Source organism: Homo sapiens, chromosome 4, assembly GCF_000001405.40.
Source record: "Homo sapiens chromosome 4, GRCh38.p14 Primary Assembly".
In the NCBI taxonomy this organism is placed as follows: domain Eukaryota; kingdom Metazoa; phylum Chordata; class Mammalia; order Primates; family Hominidae; genus Homo; species Homo sapiens.
The window spans coordinates 40,531,265-40,553,841 of record NC_000004.12 but is presented as its reverse complement, the minus strand read 5'-3'; the positions used below and the strand labels follow the sequence as shown (position 1 = coordinate 40,553,841).

At 44.6% G+C, this 22,577-nt stretch overlaps 1 protein-coding gene across 32 annotated transcripts in view, besides 1 other annotated feature; it reads left to right on the top strand.

Moving 5' to 3' along the window:
• The window catches only part of RBM47 (RNA binding motif protein 47), a 207,573-nt gene that overhangs the window by 77,011 nt on the left and 107,985 nt on the right, over positions 1 to 22,577 (top strand). For 22 of the 32 annotated variants that reach the window (XM_017008310.3, XM_017008309.3, XM_005248103.5 and 19 more), the window contains one exon: positions 9,336 to 9,420. The exons of 3 other annotated variants lie outside the window; for them this stretch is intronic. The gene's annotated coding sequence lies outside the window, so the exon portion shown is untranslated. Of the gene's footprint in view, positions 1 to 2,392; positions 2,521 to 9,335; positions 9,421 to 22,577 lie in introns of all 32 variants that reach the window. 7 more of the 32 variants (XM_047415818.1, XM_047415805.1, XM_047415797.1 and 4 more) reach the window with 2 other exon arrangements.
• Positions 2,725 to 2,814: a silencer, noted in NCBI's record as "silent region_15379". NCBI's record gives its function as "represses an Ori minimal core promoter by ATAC-STARR-seq in GM12878 lymphoblastoid cells {active_cell/tissue: GM12878}" and the evidence as "EXISTENCE:reporter gene assay evidence [ECO:0000049][PMID:35858748]".

Below are 22,577 nucleotides of genomic sequence, written 5' to 3'. Positions count from 1 at the left end.
CAAGTAAAGGACATGGGCTTTTTAGCTTGTTGATAGTAAAAGTCTTGGAACAGGTTTGATTAAGGGCTTATTATCTCTCCAACCAGGGGATATTTTATTTCTCAAATATTGACTATTGACTAGTGCTAGACCCTGCGTTAGGAGCTGGGAGTGCCTTGGTGAAGAAGAAAAAGTCCCTTATCATGGAGCTCACATTTTAGTGGGGCAGATAGATAGTGAAAAGTGATAAAAATGAATACATAATTGGCTGGGCGTAGTGGCTCACACCTGTAATCCCAGCACTTTGGGAAACCAAGGTGGGCAGATCACCTGAGGTCAGGAGTTCAAGACCTGCCTGGCAACATGGTGAAATGCCATCTTTACTAAAAATACAAAAAATAGCCATGCATAGTGGCATGCGCCTGTAATCCCAGCTACTTGGGAGGCTGAGGCAGGAGAATTGCTTTAACCTGGGAGGCTGAGGTTGGAGTGAGCCGAGACCACGCCACTGCACTCCAGCCTGGGTGACAGAGTGAGACTCTGTCTCAAAAATAAAATAAAATAAAATAAAAAATACATAATGCAATTTCAGATAATAATATGAGCAAAGAAGAGAAATAAAGATAGGGAAGAGGAAGAAAGAGTATACAGTTGGTGATTGGAGAACTCTTTTAAAAGAATAATCAATTCATGAAGTATTCCATATTAAAAAAAAAAAAAAGCAATCAGAGGTGGGGCGTGGTGGCGCGTGCCTGTAGTCCCGGCTACTCGGGAGGCTGAGGCAGGAGAATCACTTGAACCCGGGAGGCGGAGGTTGTAGTGAGCCAAGATCGTGCCACTGCACTCCAGCCTGGGTGACAGCGTGAGACTCCGTCTCAAAAAAAAAAAGAAAAAAGAAAAGAAAGTTGTCAGAGAAGACTTCTTGGAGGAGATGGCATTTGAGCAAAGACCTGAATTCAGTCAGGGAGAGAGCTAGGATGGGGGGTGGTGTAAAGGCTGGGAAAGGAAATTCCAGGTGGGGCCGACAGTGAGTGCCAAGGCAGGAGAAGAGGATGAGCTGGTTTGTTTAAGAAACGGCCAGAAGGCCAGTGGTATAGCCAGCACTGTGAGGTTGATGGAGAATGAACAGCAGGGAATGGAGCACAGCCAAGCCACGCTATGCAGGCTCCTAGAGGGAACCTGGGGAAGGACTCTGGATTTTATTCCAAGTGTGAGGACATGCCATTGGAGGGTTTTGAGAAGGGAAGTGACGTGACCGTGTTTAAAAAGAAAGATTGATCTATCAGAATGTGGATTCGGCAGCCATATACAGAAATGAGTCTACCCCTGGTTCAAATTAATTTAGCCCACCTGCTACTGCAGGATCTGGACTAGATGAATTTTTAACACGTCAATAGTTGAAATACAGAGCCCATTTTTATTTATATCCTTTATCTTTTTATTATTTATTTATTTATTTATTTTTGAGACAGAGTCTCACTCTGTCGCCCAGGCTGGAGTACAGTGGCGGGATCTCAGCTCACTGCAACCTCCACCTCCCAGGTTCAAGCAATTCTTCTGCTTCAGCCTCTTGAGTAGCTGGGACTACAGGTGCCCGCCACCATGCCCTGTTAATTTTTTGTATTTTTAGTAGAGACAGGGTTTCACCATGTTAGCCAGGGTGGTCTCCATCTCCTGACCTCGTGATCCACCTGCCTCAGCCTCCCAAAGTGCTGGGATTACAGGTGTGAGCCACCGCACCTAGCCCCTAAATCCTTATCTTTAAAAAAGTCTTAGGGCCTCTATGTTTTTCTTTTAAACAAGGTCTTGTATAAAGATGGATTGCTCTCTAGAAGAGAAAATGTTTCCAGTTTTTGAGTCAATGCCTGTGTCATCTTTTGTCTTCTTTTAGTGTAACTTTTGAAAATTATGCTGTGGCTATGCAGTGACTCATACCTGTAATTCCCAGCGCTTTGGGAGGCCAAGGCAGGTGAATCACTTGAGGTCAAGAGTTCGAGACTAGCCTGGCCAACATAGTGAAACCCTGTCTCTACTAAAAATACAAAAGTTAGCTGGATGTGGTGGCACGCTCCTGTAATCCCAGGTACTTGGGAGGCTGAGGCAGGAGAATCACTTGAACCCGGGAGGCGGAAGCTGCAGTGAGCCGAGATCCCACCACTGCACTCCAACCTGGGCAAGAGAGCGAGACTCTGTCTCAAAAAAAAAAAAAAAAAGAAAAGTACGCTATTTGATTCTCCCTCCCTCCCTCTTCCTTGTGTACTTCCTTCTTCCCTCCTTTCCTTTCTTTTTTAAAAGTGCTTGTTATTTTATTAGAGATCTGGATTCTGCTTGCCAATGTTAATAAAATGCAGGATTGTTTTTATTAGGTACTATTTGTTTACTTTGTTTTGTTGTTTTCTTTCTTTGTACAAAGATATCTTGGGAATATTGAATATATTCACAGATGGTAGAATCGGAGTTTGCAGTTCTGCTTTCTTTGCCCTGACCTTGTTTGAGACGTGCTTGCTTCTGATATGCTGATTCCACGTTGCAAAAGTGAAAGTATGTACTAAAGGGCCTTAAAATTAAGCAGCAAAGTAAACAGAGATTAAATTGTCTTTTGAATTTGTCAGCCTCGAACCATATGTATTTTGTGGCCACCGTATTTTCTTCATTCTTTTGTAACTGTGACCCAAGCCCATAGTGATGTGTGTATACCTCTCATGTAGAAGCAGGTCAGAACATTCACTCTCAGTTACCTTGACAAATATTTGTGGGCAGGCTGGGCTTGCTACCTACACAGCTTCCTAACAGCCCACTTTTGTGCTCAGGAAATATATCAGAACCACAAGAGGGCAGCTTGTTCAGTGAACCTAGGGGTAAAAAAGTGCTGTTTGTTAGTTACAGGATAATGAGAGGGGGAAGATGTCTAAATTTTTCAAAATGTTTCTTGCATAAGGAAGTTTTTTTTTTTTTGCATTCCTTGACAGTTTCATCTATTCAAAGAGAGAATGATTTTGGAAATTAAAAGTTTTAAGACGAGTTTCTTCATGCATATCTATTTTTTCCTTCTCTGGAATATAAATACCCATTTCCCCTTGAATCCCTTTTTCCTCTATCTTCCGTCCCTTCAATCTTTATTAAGGTATAATTTACATATGATAGGGCCAGGCGCGGTGGCTCACACCTGTAATCCCAGCACTTTGGGAAGCTGAGGTGGGCGGATCACTTGAGGTCAGGAGTTTGAGACCAGCCTGGCCCACATGGTGAAACTCCATCTCTACTAAAAACACAAAAATTAGCCGGGCATGGTGCTGGGCACCTGTAGTCCCAGCTACTCTGGAGGCTGAGGCAGGAGAATCACTTGAACCCAGGAGGATGAGGTTGCAGTGAGCTGAGATCATAGCACTACATTCCAGCATGGGCGACAGAGTGAGACTCTGTCTCAAAAAAAAATTACGTATGATAAACTTCCCACATTTTCAGTGGTGACTTTTAACACATGTATCCAGCTGTGAAACCACTACCCCAATCAAGATGTAGGAACTAACATCTCTGGAAAGTTTTCTCATGCCCCTCTGCAGTCAGTCTCCCCTCGAAGGCCCCACATCCCCTTTAATCTTTAATCGTTGAGAACATTTTACCTGACACAAAGCATTTTATAACTTTAAAGTAATGATCATGCACAAAATTTATGGTCTTGTGTAGGAGACCATGTGAGAATTCGGGAGAGATGCAAGGAAATCAAACCCAGCTTCGTTCCAAGACAGCTCTGTTGGGTTTGACCCTTTGTGGCTGTGGTGGTGGTTATCCTCTGGCTAATATTCATGGAGAGGGAGAACTGTCATTAACTGAACAATCATTAATTTCCCATTTGTTCTTTAATATTTATTTCTGCTGTATTTAACATTTATTACTGCGCACGGTGGCTCACACCTGTAATCCCAGCACTTTGGGAGGCCGAGGCGGGTGGATCACAAGGTCAGGAGTTCGAGACCAACATGGTGAAACCCTGTCTCTACTAAAAATACAAAAATTAGCCAGGCGTGGTGGCACACGCCTGTAATACCAGCTGCTTGGGAGGTTGAGGCAGGAGAATTGCTTGAACCCGGGAGGCGGAAGTTGCAGTGAGCTGAGATTGCGCCACTGCACTCTAGCCTGGGCGACAGAGTGAGACTCCGTCTCAAAAAAAAATTAGCTGGGCATGGTGCCACACACCTGTAATCCCAGCTACTTGGGAGGCTGAGGCAGGAGAATTGCTTGAACCCGGGAGGCGTAGGTTGCAGTGAGCCGAGATCATGCCACTGTACTCCAGCCTGGGCCACAGAGCGAGACTTCATCTCAAAAAAAAAAAAAAAACGAACAAACAAAAAAAACATTTATTGCACCTATGTACTCGTATTATTTAACTTAAGGAATCCTCCCTCTAAGGGAAGTGCTATTATTATCCTTACTTACAGACTGAGGAAAATAAGAGGGAGACTGAGGTACTGGCTGGGCGTGGTGGCTCACGCCTGTAATCCCAGCACTTTGGGAGGCAGAGGCAGGTGGATCACTTGAGGTCAGAAGTTTGAGACCAGCCTGGCTAACATGGTGAAACCCTGTCTCTACTAAAAATACAAAAATTAGCTGGGCACGGTGGTGCGTGCCTGTAGTTCCAGCTATTCGGGAGGCTGAGGCAGGAGAATCGCTTGAACCCAGGGGGCGGAGGTTGCAGATTATGCCACTGCACTCTAGTCTGGGCAACAGAGCAAGGCTCTGTGTCCCCCCCCCCAAAAAAAAAGAAACTGAGGTACAGTCATGTGTGGCTTTTGATTGATAAAAAGAATGAGTAAGGTTAGTTTCCTGATGAGGATAAGTGAAATTAAAAGTTTCTTAAGAAACTCATTTTCTCATTGATCATAATAATATGTACCCAGGCCAGGCACAGTGGCTCATGCCTGTAATCCCAGCACTTTGGGAGGCCAAGTTGGGCGGATCACTTGAGCTCAGGAGTTTAAGACCAGTATGGCCCACATGGTGAAACCCTGTCTCGGCTAAAAATACAATAATTAACTGGCATGGTGGCATGTGCCTGTAATCCCAGCTACTTGGGAGGCTGAGGCAGGAGAATCCCTTGAATCCAGGAGGCAGAGGTTGCAGTGAGCCGAGATGGTGCCATTGCACTACAGCCTGGGTGACAAGAGCAAAACTCTGTCTCAAAAAAAAAAAAGTAATATGTACTCAGATTTAAAAGCCAGGGCTTCTCTTTCCCTACATAATGCCCTTGGGCAGTGTCACCCGTGGCTGCAGCTGAACGCCATGATGACTGACCTTGACCGGCAAGCATCCCTATGTCTGTTTCCCTATTTCCTGCCTTCTTTGTCTCCAGACAGGTCGCCCTGCCTTTAGCCCTCCTCTGCATTGTGGTCAGAGTGATCCTTCTAACATGCAGTTCTGGTGATGTCACCTTCCTGATTAAAATTCTCCGATGGCTCCCTCGGCAATCAAATGTGGGCTCCTGGTTCCTTGCCTTGGCAGCGGCACGTCCTGTTGCTCTCCCCTGCCCGTCTTCACCCTGGCTGTGCTCAGCTCATTGTCGTTCTCCAGAGATCCTGTACGCTCTTATGTCCCTGCACCAGGAACTGACTGTTCTGTCTGGAAAATGCCCTCTTGTCTTTCAGATGTGTCTGCCGGGTAAACTGTTATTCATCCTTCAGGACTTGGCTCACATGTTCCCTGATTGACACAGACATGGGATCATCTTCTTCCCAGCTTCCAGGGCCCCTTGTGGATTAGAGCTGGTGTCACGTTGTTTTATAATGGTCTCGTCCCAACTCTGTGCTCCACTAATCTGTACCCTCCTGGAGGGCAATGACTTTGTCTTCTCAACTTGACATTTCTAGCCCAGCTCAGCACCTGGACTCACTATCCACACTGTAATACCACAAAGGCAGAGAACATATTCACCACTGCTATTGCCATTGCCTGGCATAGGGCCTGGCCTGTAGGAGGCATTCATTTCATATTTGTTGAAAGCATTAATAATGGGTGTTTTTAAATATCATACTGTAATGGTTTAGCTCAGGAATTGCAACCTGAAGGGCATCATCAAGCCATAGCCGTCTTTTGTATGGCCTCATAGTATTTTAAGTTTTTTGAATTTGATACCTTTGGATAGAGCATGTGCTCTCCTGTTTACCACTGTTTAATTGCACAGTTAATCCACTCTGATTATCATGCCCTTGACCTCCTTACTCATCTGCGACTCATCTGGTCCTGGGAGATGAGGTTGGGGGATGTGGGGAGGGGCAGTGTATTTCTTTGTTTAGGCTGCCATAACAAAATACCATGGACCAAGTGGCTTTAACAGCAGACATTTATTTTCTCATGGTTGTGGAGGCTGGAAGTCCAAGATCAAGGTGACAGCAGGGTTTGTTTACCTGGAGGCTTTTCTGCCTGGCTTGCAGATGGCTGCCCACTCACTGTGCCCTCACACAGTCATCCCTCGGTCTGTGTTGTCTGTGTCTGAATTTCCTCTTCTTATGAAGACACTGGTTATATTGCATTAGGGCCCATCCCCGTGACCTCATTTAATCTTAATTACCCATTTAAAGACCCTGTCTCCAAATATAGTCACATTGTGAGATACTAGGGGTTAGACCTTGAATTTATGAATTTGGCAGGGCAGGGAGGGGCACTGTATATCCTAGAACAGGAAGAGACATGAACTCTCTAGTACTGTGGTCTGTTCCTTGCATCTGATTCCTGTTTTATAACATGTCACTAAAAGGGAACCCAGGAGCTAGCAGAGAGAGCAGTTTGTTCACTGAGGCACAATTTGGATGGTTATAATATGCACCTGCTCAAACACCTGATCTCTACTCTGGTCCCTTTGATCTTGGTACCATATTCATGTTTCTTAAGCAGCTAACATTTAGTCAGAATGCCAGGTAGAACTTAGGTGCTTTTCAGTTTGGAAATCCATACCCTTTTTCATTCTATCACTCCAAAAACTGATGTGTGGGCTGCAGACTTTATTTGCCAAGGGTTAGGTGGACAGGAGAGGTAAAAGCTGTATAATGACATGGCACCACCTCCATTTGCTGTAAGCAAACAGCCAGGTCCTTTATTACCCTTGAAACAGGCACTCGTGACACAGGTTGGACTCACCGAAGCAAGTCAAATGCCAGGTTTCTGTGGGTCAAAGTTCCTTCCAGCACTGTATGTTAATCAGAAGCTCAACCTTAGTTAATTTGGCCATTGCATTGGGAAGAACTTTGGAACAAATGATTACTGAGCTGGACTGCAGGAGTTAGCATAGCCCAGTATTTTCTTATCCAAGAGGTACGTTGTAGTCTTTCTTGGAGGGGATCGCAGGAATGAGACATTTGTCACAGCTTTATTTATTCTTGGTGGAACAGTAGTATAATAAAATCTTCTACACTGAACCTAGCTAATCAAAAGTATTTACTTGCTGTAATCCCAGCACTTTGGGAGGCTGAGGCGGGTGGATCACATGAGGTCAGGAGTTCAAGACCAGCCTGACCAACATGGTGAAACCCCATCTCTACTACAAATACAAAATTAGCCCGGAGTGGTGGTGCATGCCTGTAATCCCAGCTACTTGGGAGGCTAAGGTGGGAGAATCACTTGAACCCGGGAGGCGGAGGTTGCAGTGAGCTGAGATCATGCCACTGCACTCCAGCCTGGGTGACAAGAGGGAAACTCCATCTGGAAAAAAAAAAAGTATTTACTTAAAAATATGAAACTGAATTGTTAGAGAATATTATTTGTGTATAGGCAGAAAAGCCAGCTGTAGAGGGCTTCCAAGGTGAAGGAACATTTAAAACTAACACAACTCATAGTGATTTAAATGATTTTGAATTTAATGTGCCTCTGCAGAAAGAATTTTAAATGAACATAATAATCATAGCCGCCCTTCATTGAACATTTTCTCTGTGTGCTAGGCCCCAAAGGCTTCATATCTCTTGTCACAATGTCTCCAACAAATGGGTACTATTAGGCCCATATTAGATGAGAAAAACTCAGAGGTTCAGAGAGGCTGAGTAAAATGCCCAAGATCAACCAGCTAGCAAGCAGTAGAGTGGAGTTTCGAGCACCTGGTCAAACCTGTGAGCTTCCCCTCCCTGTTAGTCCACTTTTTATACATTTCCTCTTCTCTCCCTCTCTTTCTCTTTTATTTATTTATTTATTTATTTATTTATTTATTTATTTTTGAGAAGGAGCCTTGCTCTTGTTGCCCAGACTGGAGAGCAATCGCGTGATCTTGGCTCACTGCAACCTCCGCCTCCCGAGTTCAAGCAGTTCTCCTGTGTCAGCCTCCTGAGTAGCTGGGACTACAGGTGCCCACCACCACGCCTGGTTAATTTTTGTATTTTTAGTAGAGATGGGGTTTCACCATATTGGTCAGGCTGGTCTTGAACTCCTGACCTCAGGTGATCCACCTGCCTCGGGCTCCCAAAGTGCTGGGATTACAGGTGTGAGCCACTGCGCCTGGCCTCTCTCTCTCTCTTTTAAAGACAGGATCTCAGGCCGGGCGCCGTGGCTCACGCCTGTAATCCCAGCACTTTGGGAGGCTGAGGCGGGCAGATCATGAGGTCAGGAGTTCGAGACCAGCCTGACCAACATGGTGAAACCCCGTCTCTACTAAAAATACAAAACATTAGCTGGGCATGGTGGGGCATGCCTGTAATCCCAGCTACTTGGGAGGCTGAGGCAGGAGAATTGCTTGAACCTGGGAGACGGAGGTTGCAGTGAGCTGAGGTCTCGCCACTGCACTCCAGCCTGGGTGACAGAGCGAGACTCCGTCTGAAAAAAAAAAAAAAAAAAAAAGGATCTCACTCTGTTTTCCAGGCTGGAGTGCACGATCATAGCTCACTGCAGCCTCAGAACTCCTAGGCTCAAGTGATCCTCTCGCCTCAGCTCCTCCAACAAGCTGGGACCATGGGCGCCCAGCTAATTTTAAATTTTTTTGTAGAGATAGGCTCTCACTATATTGCCCAGGTTGGTCTCAAATTCCTGGGCTTAAAGTGATGCTCCTGCCTCGGCCTTCCAAAGTGCTGTGATTACAGGCATGAGGCTCTCCTTTCTCTCTTTGTCATAGTAAGATTTTCTTTCCTTGAGTGTCTTTTAATTAATATGAAACGGAATAGTCTTGCAGAGCTGGCAAAATGATGTGACCAGTGGAGATTTCCTATATTGCCTGGTTATGTAGCTTCCCTTGTAGTTCCAGGCACACACAACGGCCTGTGATAATAGCAAAACACCATGTTCCTTCTTCTCACCCGCTCTCCCAGTTCCATTTAGTGATCACTAACTTTGGACTTCTCAATACCAGCCTTTGGGTCAGTAGTGTTATTTTTTTCATTTCACAGCTCAGGTAACGGAGGCCTTGGAAAGAGACTCTGCGTCAGGTCACCCAGCAGAGATCAGCAATCCTTGGCTCACTGAGGAGGTTTGGTAAGTTGGCATCATCTTCACCATGACTCAAATGCACATAACCCGGTGGCGGGGGAGAAAAGTGGGTGAACATCACATAGCGACATCAAAATGCTAATCCTTGCCACCCCCCTTTGTTTTTGTTTTTACAAACGTATTGTTGTTGTGTTTGTTTAATTTACTAGGCCAGAGTGCCCTGTATGTTTGTAAGCACAAATGTCCTCAGAGGACTCCCACAGCCAAAAAGAATGACAGAGGTGTATTTGAATGATTTCAGTGAAACTCTTTTAATACTGATTTCATGAAAATGTCTGGTGGTGGGTTCTTCCTGTAGCATTACTGCATATCATCAACTAGAATGCATCCCCCGCCCTTCACACATACAATTTAACATGTCTGAAATTCGGTGCACCTTATGCAAACAGGTCTGGTGAAATACAGCATTTCTCTGATAATCCCCAAATGACCAGCATTAAGTATTCCCTACCTTCTATTTTTCACACAATACAAATGTTTTTTTTTTTTTTTTCTTTTTAGAGGGTTGAATTTTTAAGGGTAAGAAATGCATAGTCTGATGAGTAGATGATTAGTAAGAAGTCTGTGCTTACCAAAGAAAGAATTTAGGTTTCCTTTTTTGTTTTTGTTTTTGAAATGAAGTCACATTATCACCCAGGCTGGAGTGCAGTGGCACGATCTCGGCTCACTGCAACCTCTGCTCCTGGGTTTATGTGATTCTCCTGCCTCAGCCTCCCGAGTAGCTGGGACTGACTACAGGCACGCACCATCACACCTGGCTAATTATTGTATTTTTAGTCGAGATGGGGTTTCACCATGTTGGCCAGGCTGGTCTCAAACTCCTGACCTCAAGTGATCTGCCCACCTCAGCCTCCCAAAGTGCTGGGATTATAGGCATGAGCCACCACACCCAGCCAGAATTTAGTTTTCTAATACTGAAAGAAAAACTTTTTTTTTTGGTGACTTCATATGATAGTCTTGAGATGAGCACCCCAAGGACCTTGTAAATAGTGGGCGCTGGCACTCAGAACAGCCCATGTGAGATAATGAAGCAGCCTTCCAGACATAAGATCCCAGAATCAGACACTTATCCAAGGTTCCCCTCCTGCAATCAGCGGGTAGGAGTTTGCAATGAAAACACTCCATGCTATGTCCCAGAGTGACTCGTTCATTTATCCGTGAAAGCAGAGTCCAAATCCATGTTCATGTTAAATGTGCAGAAAAATAGCATCTTGAGAGTTAATGCCACAGAATGGGCATGATTCCCTAAGCCACATTTGCCTGATTGAGACAGACTTTAACATTTGCAAAACCTCCATGTTATGAGACCCTATAGGTGATAGTACATGATCTGTAGGGATACAAGTAAATCCATTAACAAACATTTTTTGAGCACCTGCTATGTGCCAGGCTCTGTGCTAGGCTCTGTGCTAGATGTAGCATAATTAAGAAGTAATTAGGACAGAAAGGATTGCTGTCCCCACAGGGCTACTTTAGTAGTCACAGAAGATATTAAATAATACATTAACAGAGTAATGAGTGGGCTGATGAAGAACTGTAAGGAGTTAAGAGTCTAAAACAAGAAAACCTAAGCTAGCCAGAGTGGCTCACGCCTGCAATCCCAGCACATAGGGAGGCCAGGGTGAGAGGATCACTTGAGCTCAGGAGTTCAAGACCAACCTGGGCAACATAATGAGACCTGTCTCTACAAAAATTTAAAAATTGTCATCCCATTCTCTACTGGAAAATAAAAAATTAGCTGGGTATGCTGGCACGCACCCATAGTCCCAGCTACTTGGGAGGCTGCAGTGAGAGAATTGCTTAGGCCTGGGAGGTTGAGGCTACAGTGAGCCAAGATTGCATCACTGCAGTCTAGCCAGGGCAACAGAGCAAGACCCTATCTCGAAAAAATAAATAAATAAAAACAAGAGGACCTAACATAATCTGAGTCAGGAGGTGACTATTGGGAAGGTTGCTTGGAGTTTGAATGGCATTCTAACTGAGACCTGGAGGATAGGCAGAGGGGGATTGGAGACAGGCGGCAGTGGCTACATTAAACAGCCTTTGCAGGGGCCCAGTATGGAGAGAGTGTTGGGGTCAAGGAATAGCATGAGCTATGGGGGGAAAGGGAAAGGGAGAGGGAGAGGCTTCAGAGAACAGGTGTCTCTTGTAAAATGAAAACTTAGTCAAATTTCTGGAAGAATCTTTAAAACCTCTTAAAGAGATTGATTTCAGACTGATGATCAGATTTTTTTGTTTTTGTGGTTCAGACAGAAATCTTACCTTGTGTATCAGCATTATTCCCTAGAGTTAGAGCCCAAGTATTGCTCCCCTGCTAATCCTTTGAATTCTCCCCAAATCTATGTTCTTAATTTACCTCACCTACCTCCCCAAGGAAGGTAATCAGCTTCTAGTAAGAGGTGGTTTTCACAGACAATGTGTCCACATTTCTTTGTCTCTGCATCCTTGATGGCATCCAGGAAAGGTGATCATCGACATAGTCAATGTATGTGTACGATTCTCCCACCAAGGGCAGGATTTAAAAAATAATGCTTTAAATAGAATGAACAGAGGCAGCTACTTGAACCAGCTACTTGACTCTACTTGTGCTTTGAACGTGTGAGATTCTCAGGTTTCAAACCTTAGTGCTCTGTGTTGACATTTTCTTTTTCTTTTTCTTTTTTTTTTTGAGACAGAGTTTTGCTCTTGTTGCCCAAGTTGGAGTGCAGTGGTGCCATCTCGGCTCATTGCAACCTCCGCCTCCCGGGTTCAAACAATTCTCGTGCCTCAGCCTCCCGACTAGCTGGGATTATAGGCATGCGCCACCACACCGGCTAATTTGTTGTATTTTTAGTAAAGATGGGGTTTTCACCATGTTGGCCAGGCTGGTCTCGAACTCCTGACCTCAGGGAATCCACCCACCTCTGCCGCCCAAAGTGCTGGGATTACAGGCGTGAGCCACCACACCCAGCAGTGTTGACATTTTCTATCAAGAGTACTGCTGAGCTGGCGCCCTTTGGCCAGTTACTGAACTGACGGATGCAGAAATTTACACATGTTCATGTATACACAAAAGGAACCCTAATTCCATGGAACTGGCCTTCTCAAGCTTGCTGATTTCTTAGTTATGAGTAAATTTGATGCGATTTTTTTTTTTTTTTTTTGAGAGAATCTTGCTCGGTCACCTAGGCTGGAATGCAGTGGTGCAATCAGGGCTCACTGCAGCCTCGAACTCCTGGGCTCAAGCAATTCTCCCTCCTCAGCCTCGTGAGTAGCTGGGCCCAGCTAATTTTTAATTTTTTATAGAGATGAGGTCTCGCCATGTTTCCCAGGCTGGTCTTGAACTCCTGGGCTCAAGCGATCCGCTTGTCGTAGCCTCCCGTAGTGCTGGGATTGCAAGTGTGACCCACTGTGCCTGGCTTGATTCAAAAAAAGTCCAGGTCATTTCCTGACTTTCTTTGAGATGTTTATTTGTTTTATGACCTTATATAGAGCTTATTTCACAATACAAAGAATAGAATGAGGATATTATATATGATTTATATCAATAAGCTTGACATTTAGGTTATATGGAAAAATTCCTGGCAAAATGTAAATAATGAATCTTAAAGTTAGCTGATTAAAAAAACCAAATAAATAAATAAATAAATAAAATATATAAATTAAAAAACCCAACTGAAGGAGAAAAAAACCTATATAGTTCTATAAGGAAAAAAATAGTAGGGTTTTTTCCCCATTATTCCCCATTTATTATTATTATTATTATTATTATTATTTTTTTTTTTTTTTGAGACAGAGTTTCACTCCTGTTACCTAGGCTGGAGTCAATGGCGTGATCTTGACTCACTGCAACCTCCGCCTCCTGGCTTCAAGCAATTCTCCTGCCTCAGCCTCTTGAGTAGCTGGGATTACAGGCATGCGCCACCATGCCTGGCTAATTTTGTATTTTTAGTAGAGATGGGGTTTCTCCATGTTGGTCAGGCTGGTCTTGAACTCCTGACCTCAGGTGATCCTCCCACCTCGGCCTCCCAAAGTGCTGGGATTACAGGGGTGAGCCACTGTGCCCAGCCTGTTTATTTTTAACAAAGAATTTTAACATCCTTCTTATATTCTCTTTTGGTTAATTTCTTTTTTAAATTTTATTTTATTTCATTGACAAATGATAATTGTACATACTCATGAGGTACATAGTGATGTTTTGAGACATACCATGTAAAGTGTTTAGATTGGGGCCTTGATTTTTCTCAAGCCACAGCAAGCATATTTTCCTTGATCAACATGGCACCTGAAGTTAGATGGTGGCGATCTGTAGGAAAGATTAGAGGAGGAAATACCACAGGGCTCCTGATGGGAACTTTAAGTAAAATAAAAATAGTAAAACATTTGGAGTCCTTACCCTTTCCTACTAATCATAGCCTAGATTTTCATTCCAAGTAAGTTAATAAATTAAGAGGTAGATATTATTTAACTCACAAGTTGAAAATGCAAGTTGCATTTGAAAAGGAGGAAAACGTGGCCTGGTGAAGACATTGTTTCTTTGGTAAATGGCTCTTCATATTTTGGAATTGTAGCTCATTTAGTGAAGTCACAGATCTCTTAGAAATAGATTTTCCTAAAATCCCTATCCTAATAACCTAATAATTACTAGAAGATATATCTTTTTTTTTTTTTTTTTTTTTTTTTTTTTTGAGACAGAGTCTTGCTCTGTCGCCCAGGCTGGAGTGCAGTGGCACAATCTCGGTTGACTGCAACCTCTGCCTCTCAGGTTCAAGTGATTCTCCTGCCTCAGCCTCCCGAGTAGCTGGGATTATAGGCACCTGCCACCACGCTCGGCTAATTTTTGTATTTTTAGTAGAGACGTGTTTCACCATGTTGGCCAGGCTGGTCTCGATCTCCTGACCTCAGGTGATCCACCTGCCTCGGCCTCCCAAAGTGCTGGGATTACAGGCACGAGTCACCGTGCCTGGCTTAGAAGATACACCTTTTGGAAAATGGCCTCCTCATCATGTTGTTTCAAAAAGGCAGACTCTAACCCAGTTAAGACTTCAGGTAAAACTCATGTGGTCCATATGAGGGATGCTTACTAAAGAGCAAATACACCCAAAGGTCAAACAACTGAGCTAAAACACATTGACTTTTCCTTGGCCAACCACTGGTAGGGAACTGTCACAAAATGACCCCAGGCTGCTCAAGGCAATCCCAAAAGGCAGCTTCTAAAAACGAGTTTTCTGCTTCTTCACTTGAAAATGGAAGAGATTTTTTTTTCCATTACACATTACTTGGTACTGTTTATTTTGTACAATGTAGCTTTTTACTACAAAGAAGGGGAAAGTGGCCTATAATTTAATTTGATTTAAATTAAATCTACATAGGACCATCATATAAAAGATACTGGAACAAGTGTGTGAGGGATACAAAGATAAATCAGACCACTATCCTGGCCCCAGCAGAGTTTAAGAATGAGCATTTAAACATTTAGTTAATAAGAAACATGGCTGGGCACAGTGGCTCACATCTGTAATCTCAGCACTTTGGGAGGCCAAGGCAGGCAGATCTTTTGAGGTCAGGAGTTCGAAACTGACTGGCCAACATGGTGAAACCCTGTCTCTATTAAAAATACAAAAAAATTAGCTGGGTGTTGTGGTGCACATCTGTAATGTCAGCTACTTGGGCTGAGGCAGGAGAATCACTTGAACCCAGGAGGCAGAGGCTGCAGTGAACCAAGATTGTGCCACTCCACTCCAGCCTGGACAACAGAGCAAGACTCCGTCTCAAAACAAACAAACAAACAAAAAACAAAAAAGCCTGGGCGCCATGGCTTACACCTATAATCCCAGCACTTTGGGAGGCCAAGGCGGGCAGATCACAAGGTCAAAAGATCGAGACCATCCTGGCCAACGTAGTGAAACCCTGTTTCTACTAAAAATACAAAAATTAGCTGGCCGTGGTGACGTGCGCCTCTAGTCCCAGCTACTTGGGAGGCTGGGACAGGAGAATCGCTTGAACCCGGGAGGCGGAGGTTGCAGTGAGCTGAGATCGTGCCATTGTACTCCAGCCTGGCGACAGAGCAAGACTCTGTCTCAAAAAAAAAAAAAAAAACAATACCAATAAAAGAGCATCCTACCTCACATATGTAATGGTATATTTGAAAATGCAGTAGAAGTTACTGGATCCCTTTTCTCATCTGTATCCAGATTTGCCAGGGAGTATATTCACTACCCTCTTGTCTGGACCTCTCCCTTTTCTTTCCTTCTGCCTGATCTCTGATCAAATTTGACGTCAGTGTTAATTTAGGTATGGAGCCTGCTGGTATTGAAAACTTATGCAAAAGTAACCCTGAAGTCCTTTGCTGTTTATAAACATAAATGTATAATTACCACTATGATGCAGACTGAAGAACTTTCCAAGACTTGATGTAGCTGGGCATGGTGGCACACGCACACGCCTGTAGTCCTAGCTACTTGGGAGGCTGAGGCATGAGGACCACTTGAGTCCAGGAGTTCAAGGCTGCAGTGAGCTGTGATTTATGATTGTGCCACTGCACTCTAGTCTGGGCAAAACAGTGACATCGCATCTAAAAAAAAAAAAAGAAGGAAAAAAAAGACTTGTCAGAGTAATTGCGCCGAATTTACATTTAGCCCATGGTGAATACAGACAACCAGTGACTTCATCACAAAGCCTTCCTGTAAAAGCTAAGATGTTGCTGAGATCTGCTTTCTGGACCCAAACAGATATTTGGAAAAATGGTTTTTGGTAGAGTGTAAGAGCAGTGAGTTTAAGGCTAATTCCAAACTTAATGATTTGCCCTTTTAAAATCAGTTCATCAGCCTGGGCAACACAGTGAGATCGTGTCTCTACAAAAAAATTTAAAAATTAGGCCAGGTATGGTGGCTCACGCCTGGAATCCCAGCACTTTGGGAGGCTGAGGCAGGCAGATTGCTTGAACCCAGGGGTTCAAGACCAGCCTGGGCAATGGTGAAACCCTATCTCTACAAAAATTAGCCAGGTGTGGTGGCTTGCACCTGTAGTCCCAGCTACTCAGGAGGATCTCCTGACCCGGAGGCTCAGTCAAGGCTGCAGTGAGCTGAGATGGAGGCACCACACTCCAGTCTTGGAGACAGAGAGAGATGCTGTCTTAAGAAAAAAAAAATAGCTGGGCATGGTGGTGCATCCCTGTAGCCCCAGCTACTTGTGAGGCTGAGGTGGGACGATTGCTTGAGCCTATGAGGTCAAGGCTGCAGTGAGCCATGATTATGCCACTGCACTCCAGCCTGGGCAACAGAGTGAGACCCTGTCTCAAAAATAAATAAATAACATAAAATAAAATTAGTTCATTCATGTGGGCAAAAGTTTCATAGATCTAGTGGTTAGTTACTTTGTCTGTGTGCTCTTTGATGTCTTGCTATTTGCCAAACAAGATAACCTATTTTCAAAACTGAAAAGGCAGGCTGGGCGCAGATCATTTGAGATCAGGAGTTTGAGACCAGCCTGGCCAACATGGTGAAACCCCTCATCTCTACTAAAAATACAAAAACTTAGCCTGGCGTGGTGGCAGCTGTCTGTAATCCCAGCTACTAAGGAGGCTGAGGCAGGAGAATTGCTTGAACCTGGGAGGCAGAAGTTATAGTGAGCTGAGATCATGCCACTGCTTTCTAGCCTGGATGACAGAGCGAGACTCTGTCAACAACAACAATAAAAAAAAAACAAAAACACACACACACACACCAAAAACTGCAAAGGCAGAGAGGTGGATATGAGCCATGACTCAACCAATAACATGGCAGGGAAGCAGACAATTACCTACAAAAGGAGGCCTGTCTACCTAAACGGAAGAGGTCTGGACCTACCATAGAGGAAGAAAAAGAAAATTGTGGGCATCAACAAAGTGTATGTGTCTTTTGGCAGAATAACAGGTCAATAATGGCTTTATGCTTTGTAGGATGGTATTTAATGCTCTAGAAAGCAAAGAGAATACTCCAAGGTTATGAAGCCGAAATTGGTAGCTAATGTCAGCGTTGAACCTTGAGGCAAATTTCATGGGTGATACTTAAATGTCAGCCCTGTAGTTTCCAAGAACAAGGTCTCCAAGCCAGTCATTAGACATGCATCAAAGTTCTGCTGAGGTGGGGCCTCATCCCGGGCTGCACTTTGGGTAAAGCAGGTTGCCCCAAGTGTGTCAGTGGTTGCTGCACCGTGGGCAGACAGAAATAGAATGTCTGACATTCACTTCAGCCATGCTCATTGGTTTCTATGCAGGTGTTGCCTGCCAAGAAGTAGCAGTAGAACAGCCGCATTGCTTTCATAAAGAATGACAAAATTTCTATGTCTGCAAAATAAATGAGTTATTTGAAACTAAGAACAAGGTCAGCAAAATACAAGTGACACCTCAAGCAAAGAATGAAGTGGGCATTGAAATACCATACCAGAGGCTGGGCGCAGTGGCTCACGCCTGTAATCCCAGCACTCTGGGAGGCCAAGGCGGGTGGATCACCTGAGGTCAGGAGTTTGAGACCAGCCTGGCCAACATGGTGAAACCCCATCTCTATGAGGGGGAAAAAAAATATATACGAGGCCAGGTGTGGTGGCTCATGCCTGTAATCCCAGCACTTTGAGAGGTCAAGGTGGGCGGATCATAAGGTCAGGAGTTCAAGACCAACCTGGTCAACATGGTGAAACCCAGTCTCTACTCAAAATACAAAAAGTAGCTGGGGGTGGTGGCAGGCGCTGGTAATCCCAGCTACTCGGTAGACTGAGGCAGGAGAATCGCTTGCCCCGGGAGGTGGAGGTTGCAGTGAGCCGAGATCTCGCCACTGCACTCCAGCCTGGGCGACAGGGCTAGACTCCGTCTGAAAAATACAAAAACAAAAACGAAAAAAAAAAATACAAAAATTAGCCAGACGTGGTGGTGGGCACCTGTAATCCCGGCTACTCAGGAGGCTGAGGCAGGAGAATCGCTTGAACCCGGGAGGCGGAGGTTGCAGTGAGCTGGTATGTGCCACTGCACTCCAGCCTGGGTGACAGAGCAAGGCTCCGTCTCAAAAAAAAAAAAAAAAAAAGAAATACCATACCAGGCTGGTATGAAAAGGTGCTGAACACAAACCAGGCCTTTCAGTCTAGGCATGTCAGTACCCACTGATTTTTGTTCATCTATACCTGTGTAATCAGTGATTCTTGGAATCTTAAAATATTGGAGTTGTAAGGAACCCTAGAGGTCTTAAGAAAATAATGATGATTTACATTTACTGAGGGTTCACTATATGCCAGGCATAAGGAAGTCTTTTACTTGTATTATCAGTTTTACTTGTATAGCCTCATTTGATCTCTTCCATAATCTCTAAAGAAGGGGCTAGGATTCCTATTTTGTCAATAAGAAAACAGACTTAAAAGACAACAGGGAACTCACACAAGGTCATACAGTTCATGCATGGCAGAGCTGGCTCACATACCTACGTCAGTCTGAGGCGAGTTTGCATTTTTTTTTTTTTTTTTTTCTGAGACGGAGTCTTGCTCCATCGCCCAGGCTGGAGTGCACTGGCACGATCTCGGCTCACTGCAAGCTCCGCCTCCCGGGTTCACGCCATTCTCCTGCCTCAGCCTCCAGAGTAGCTGAGACTACAGGCGCCCGCCACCATGCCTGGCTAATTTTTTTGTATTTTTAGTAGAGATGGGGTTTCACCGTGTTAGCCAGGATGGTCTTTATCTGCTGACCTCGTGATCCGCCTGCCTCGGCCTCCCAAAGTGCTGGGATTACAGGCGTGAGCCACCGCACCCGGCCGAGTTTGCATTTTTTAACTACCAGCTCCTTAGAGGGCCAAGGGATTCTCAGAAAAAGGTATGTCCATCGACATTCTGACCAGGTCCCCAGGAGTTCGCTAACTCACAGTTCAGTGAAAATGACCAAAGGATGCATTGAAAATCATGGAATCTACACCCTGAATTTTAGCTATACGGAGTGTAATATGCAATTATAAAATGTATTGGTGGGTTCTATTTTGGCCTCTAGCTCCCACATCACTAAGGAACTTGCTGTAACCCTTAACCCAGGTGGCTAAGGGCACAGTGTGGATCCCAGCTGCTCTGCTGTCCCTTGAACTGTTTTTTCTCCAGGGCATCTTCTTGTGTTTCAAGTTTCAATCATGTTGTGAATTTTAAAAAATTACCAGGCTAGGCATGGTGGCTCAGGCCTGTAATCCCAGCACTGTGGGTGGCTGAGGTGGAAGAATCACTTCAGCCCACGAGTTCAAGACCAGCCTGGGCAACATAGTGAGACCCCATCTCTAAAAAAAAAATAAATTAAAAAATATTAGCCAGGCGCCAGGCATGGTGGCTCATGCCTGTAATCCCAGCACTTTGGGGAGGCCGAGGCATGTGGATCACCTGAGGTTGGGAGTTTGAGACCAGCCTGACCAACACGGGGAAACCACATCTCTACTAAAAATACAGAATTAGCCGGGCGTGGTGGTGCATGCCTGTAATCCCAGCCACTCGGGAGGCTGAGGCAGGAGAATCGCTTTAACCTGGAAGGCAGAGGTTGTGGTGAGCTGAGATCACACCATTGCACTCCAGCCTGGGCAATAATAGTAAAACTCCATCTCAAAAAAAAAAAAGAATTAACCAGGCATGGTGGCACGCACCTGTAGTCCCAGCTACTGGGGAGAGGGAGTGGCAAGGGTCTAGGATGCAAGGATCATTTGAGCCCGGGAAGTCGAGGCTATAGTGAGCCATGTTTTTGCCACTGCACTCTAGCCTGGGTGACAGACTGAGATCCAGTCTCAAAAAATAAAACAAAATAAGACAAATCAATTCACAGACAACACTTACTGAGACTCTGATTTAATTGGTCTGAAGGGGAGCCCAGGAATCAGTATTTTTTAAAAATGTATAGATAACCTCTGGTGTAAACTTTTGCTTATTGGCCTGATGAATGTCTTTGTATTGCTCTTTCCTACCTGAGAGCTTTTTTTTCCCTTCTTCTTTTTTTTTTTTTTTCTTTTGAGACAGAGTCTTGCTCTGTTTCCCAGGCTGGAGTGCAGTGGTGCGGTCTCAGCTCACTGCAACTTCTGCCTCCCGAGTTCAAGTGACTCTCCTGCCTCAGCCTCCCAAGTAGCTGAGACTACAGGCATGCACCACCACACCCAGCTAATTTTTGTATTTTTAGTAGAGATGGGGTTTCACCATGTTGGCCAGGCTGGTCTTGAACTCCTGACTTCAGGTGAACCGCCTACCTTGGTCTCCCAGAGTGCTGGGATTGCAGGTGTAAGCCACTGCATCTGGCCTCAGAGAGCATAATCTGTATTCCCTAGCAGCTGTTTTTACTATTGTTTTTCTTATAGTCTTCAAAGATGTATTGGGCTTTGAAAACCTTTTGGCTCCTAGGAAGAAGCTATTTCTGCTTGGTGGAGTCCTGTCTGAAAGTGAATTCTCTGTTTACACTGCCCCATTCATATCCTGTCCCATGAACTACAGCTACAGATCCTCTTTGTAACACTGCTCAGAATAGAAAGTTTAATTACTCTACCCCTAAAATTTTGCAGATTGCAAGAGGCTATAAGCTACTGGTATAGCCTAGAGATCAAGGGATCTTGTGTGGTGTTATGACAACTACTTCTATTTATATGTGATGTTCACTTTAAATATACACAGACATATCTGTACGTTAGTTGAAGGGGGTCTCAAAAATCTCATCTGACCTTTAATTAGACTCCAATAAGAAGTGGTTAAGACATTGACGTATGGGCCAGGCGTCTCAAAAAAAAAATGGAAAAAAATATTTAAAAAGAAAAAAAAAAGGAAAAAGAATAATATTTTTTTTAAAAAGGCCAGGCATGGTGGCTCACGCCTGTAATCCCAGCACTTTGGGAGGCTGAGGCGGGTGGATCATGAGGTCAGGAGATCAAGACCATCCTGGCCAACATGGTGAAACCCTGTCTCTACTAAAATACAAAAAATTAGCTGGGTGTGGTGGCACATGCCTGTAGTCCCAGCTACTCGGGAGGCTGAGGCAGGGGAATCACTTGAACCCAGGAGGTGGAGGTTGTAATGAGCCGAGATCGTGCCACTGCACTCCAACCTGGTGACAGAGCAAGACTCCATCTCAAAAAAAAAAAAAAAAAAAAAATGCCGGGCGTGGTGACTCACGTCTGTAATCCCAGCATTTTGGGAGGCTGAGGAAGGTGGATCACGAGGTCAGGAGATCGAGACCATCCTGGCTAACACAGTGAAACCCCGTCTCTACTAAAAATACAAAAAATTAGCCGGGCATGGTGGCTCCCACTTGTAGTCCCAGCTACTTGAGAGGCTGAGGCAGGAGAATCTCTTGAACCCAGGAGGTAGAGGTTGCAGTGAACTGAGACTGCGCCACTGCACTCCAGCCTGGGTGACAGAGCAAGACTCCATCTCAAAAAAAAAAAAAAAGATAAAAAAAAAAGAGAGAGATTGATGTATGGCAAAACCAAGGCTGGGAGTTCAGGCCCCACAGAATACCCAGGTCTAGAACTCCTGTCTTTGGAAGCTAATTCTCTTTTGTCCTCACCCCCCTGCCTCACTTAACGATATCTTTCACGGCCTTTCCTCTTCATTCGCACTACCATCTTCCTAGTTCAAGTCATAATGTTAATTCCTAAATTACTGCACTAGCCAGAGAAGGAGGAAAAAAACTGTAAGAAACCACATCAAAATGTCATCTGTGGTTGGTAGACATCTGATTTTAATTTTTTTATATCTGCTTTTCTGACATTTATACATTTTACATAATAAACAAGTTTTATTTTCCTAAAGGAAAAACACACATCATTACTGGCATAGCCTTCACCCTGGTATCTGAGCGCATGTCCATTGTACAACCTATCTGTGCCTAGCTATCAGAGTTGCCTTTCTAAAATGTGTTCTCCAGGCTCCTCTGAAACCCTCAGGGTGTCCTGGAATTTCAAAGTCATAACCCAGACCCACCCTTCCGCCTATCCCCTTATCTCCAACCACACCCAACCCAACCCTCTCTGCTTGGCAGGCCAGCATCCTCCTTGTCCTAGGACCAGGGGAGCTCCATTCAGCTCCTTCGCAGCTACTCTCCTCTATACAGAGAACCCCATACTCTTTGTCCTTTCCTCTTTATCTCTCCAGATGTTATCCTTTGAAGCTCAGCTAGTCTGTGGCCAGACCACCCT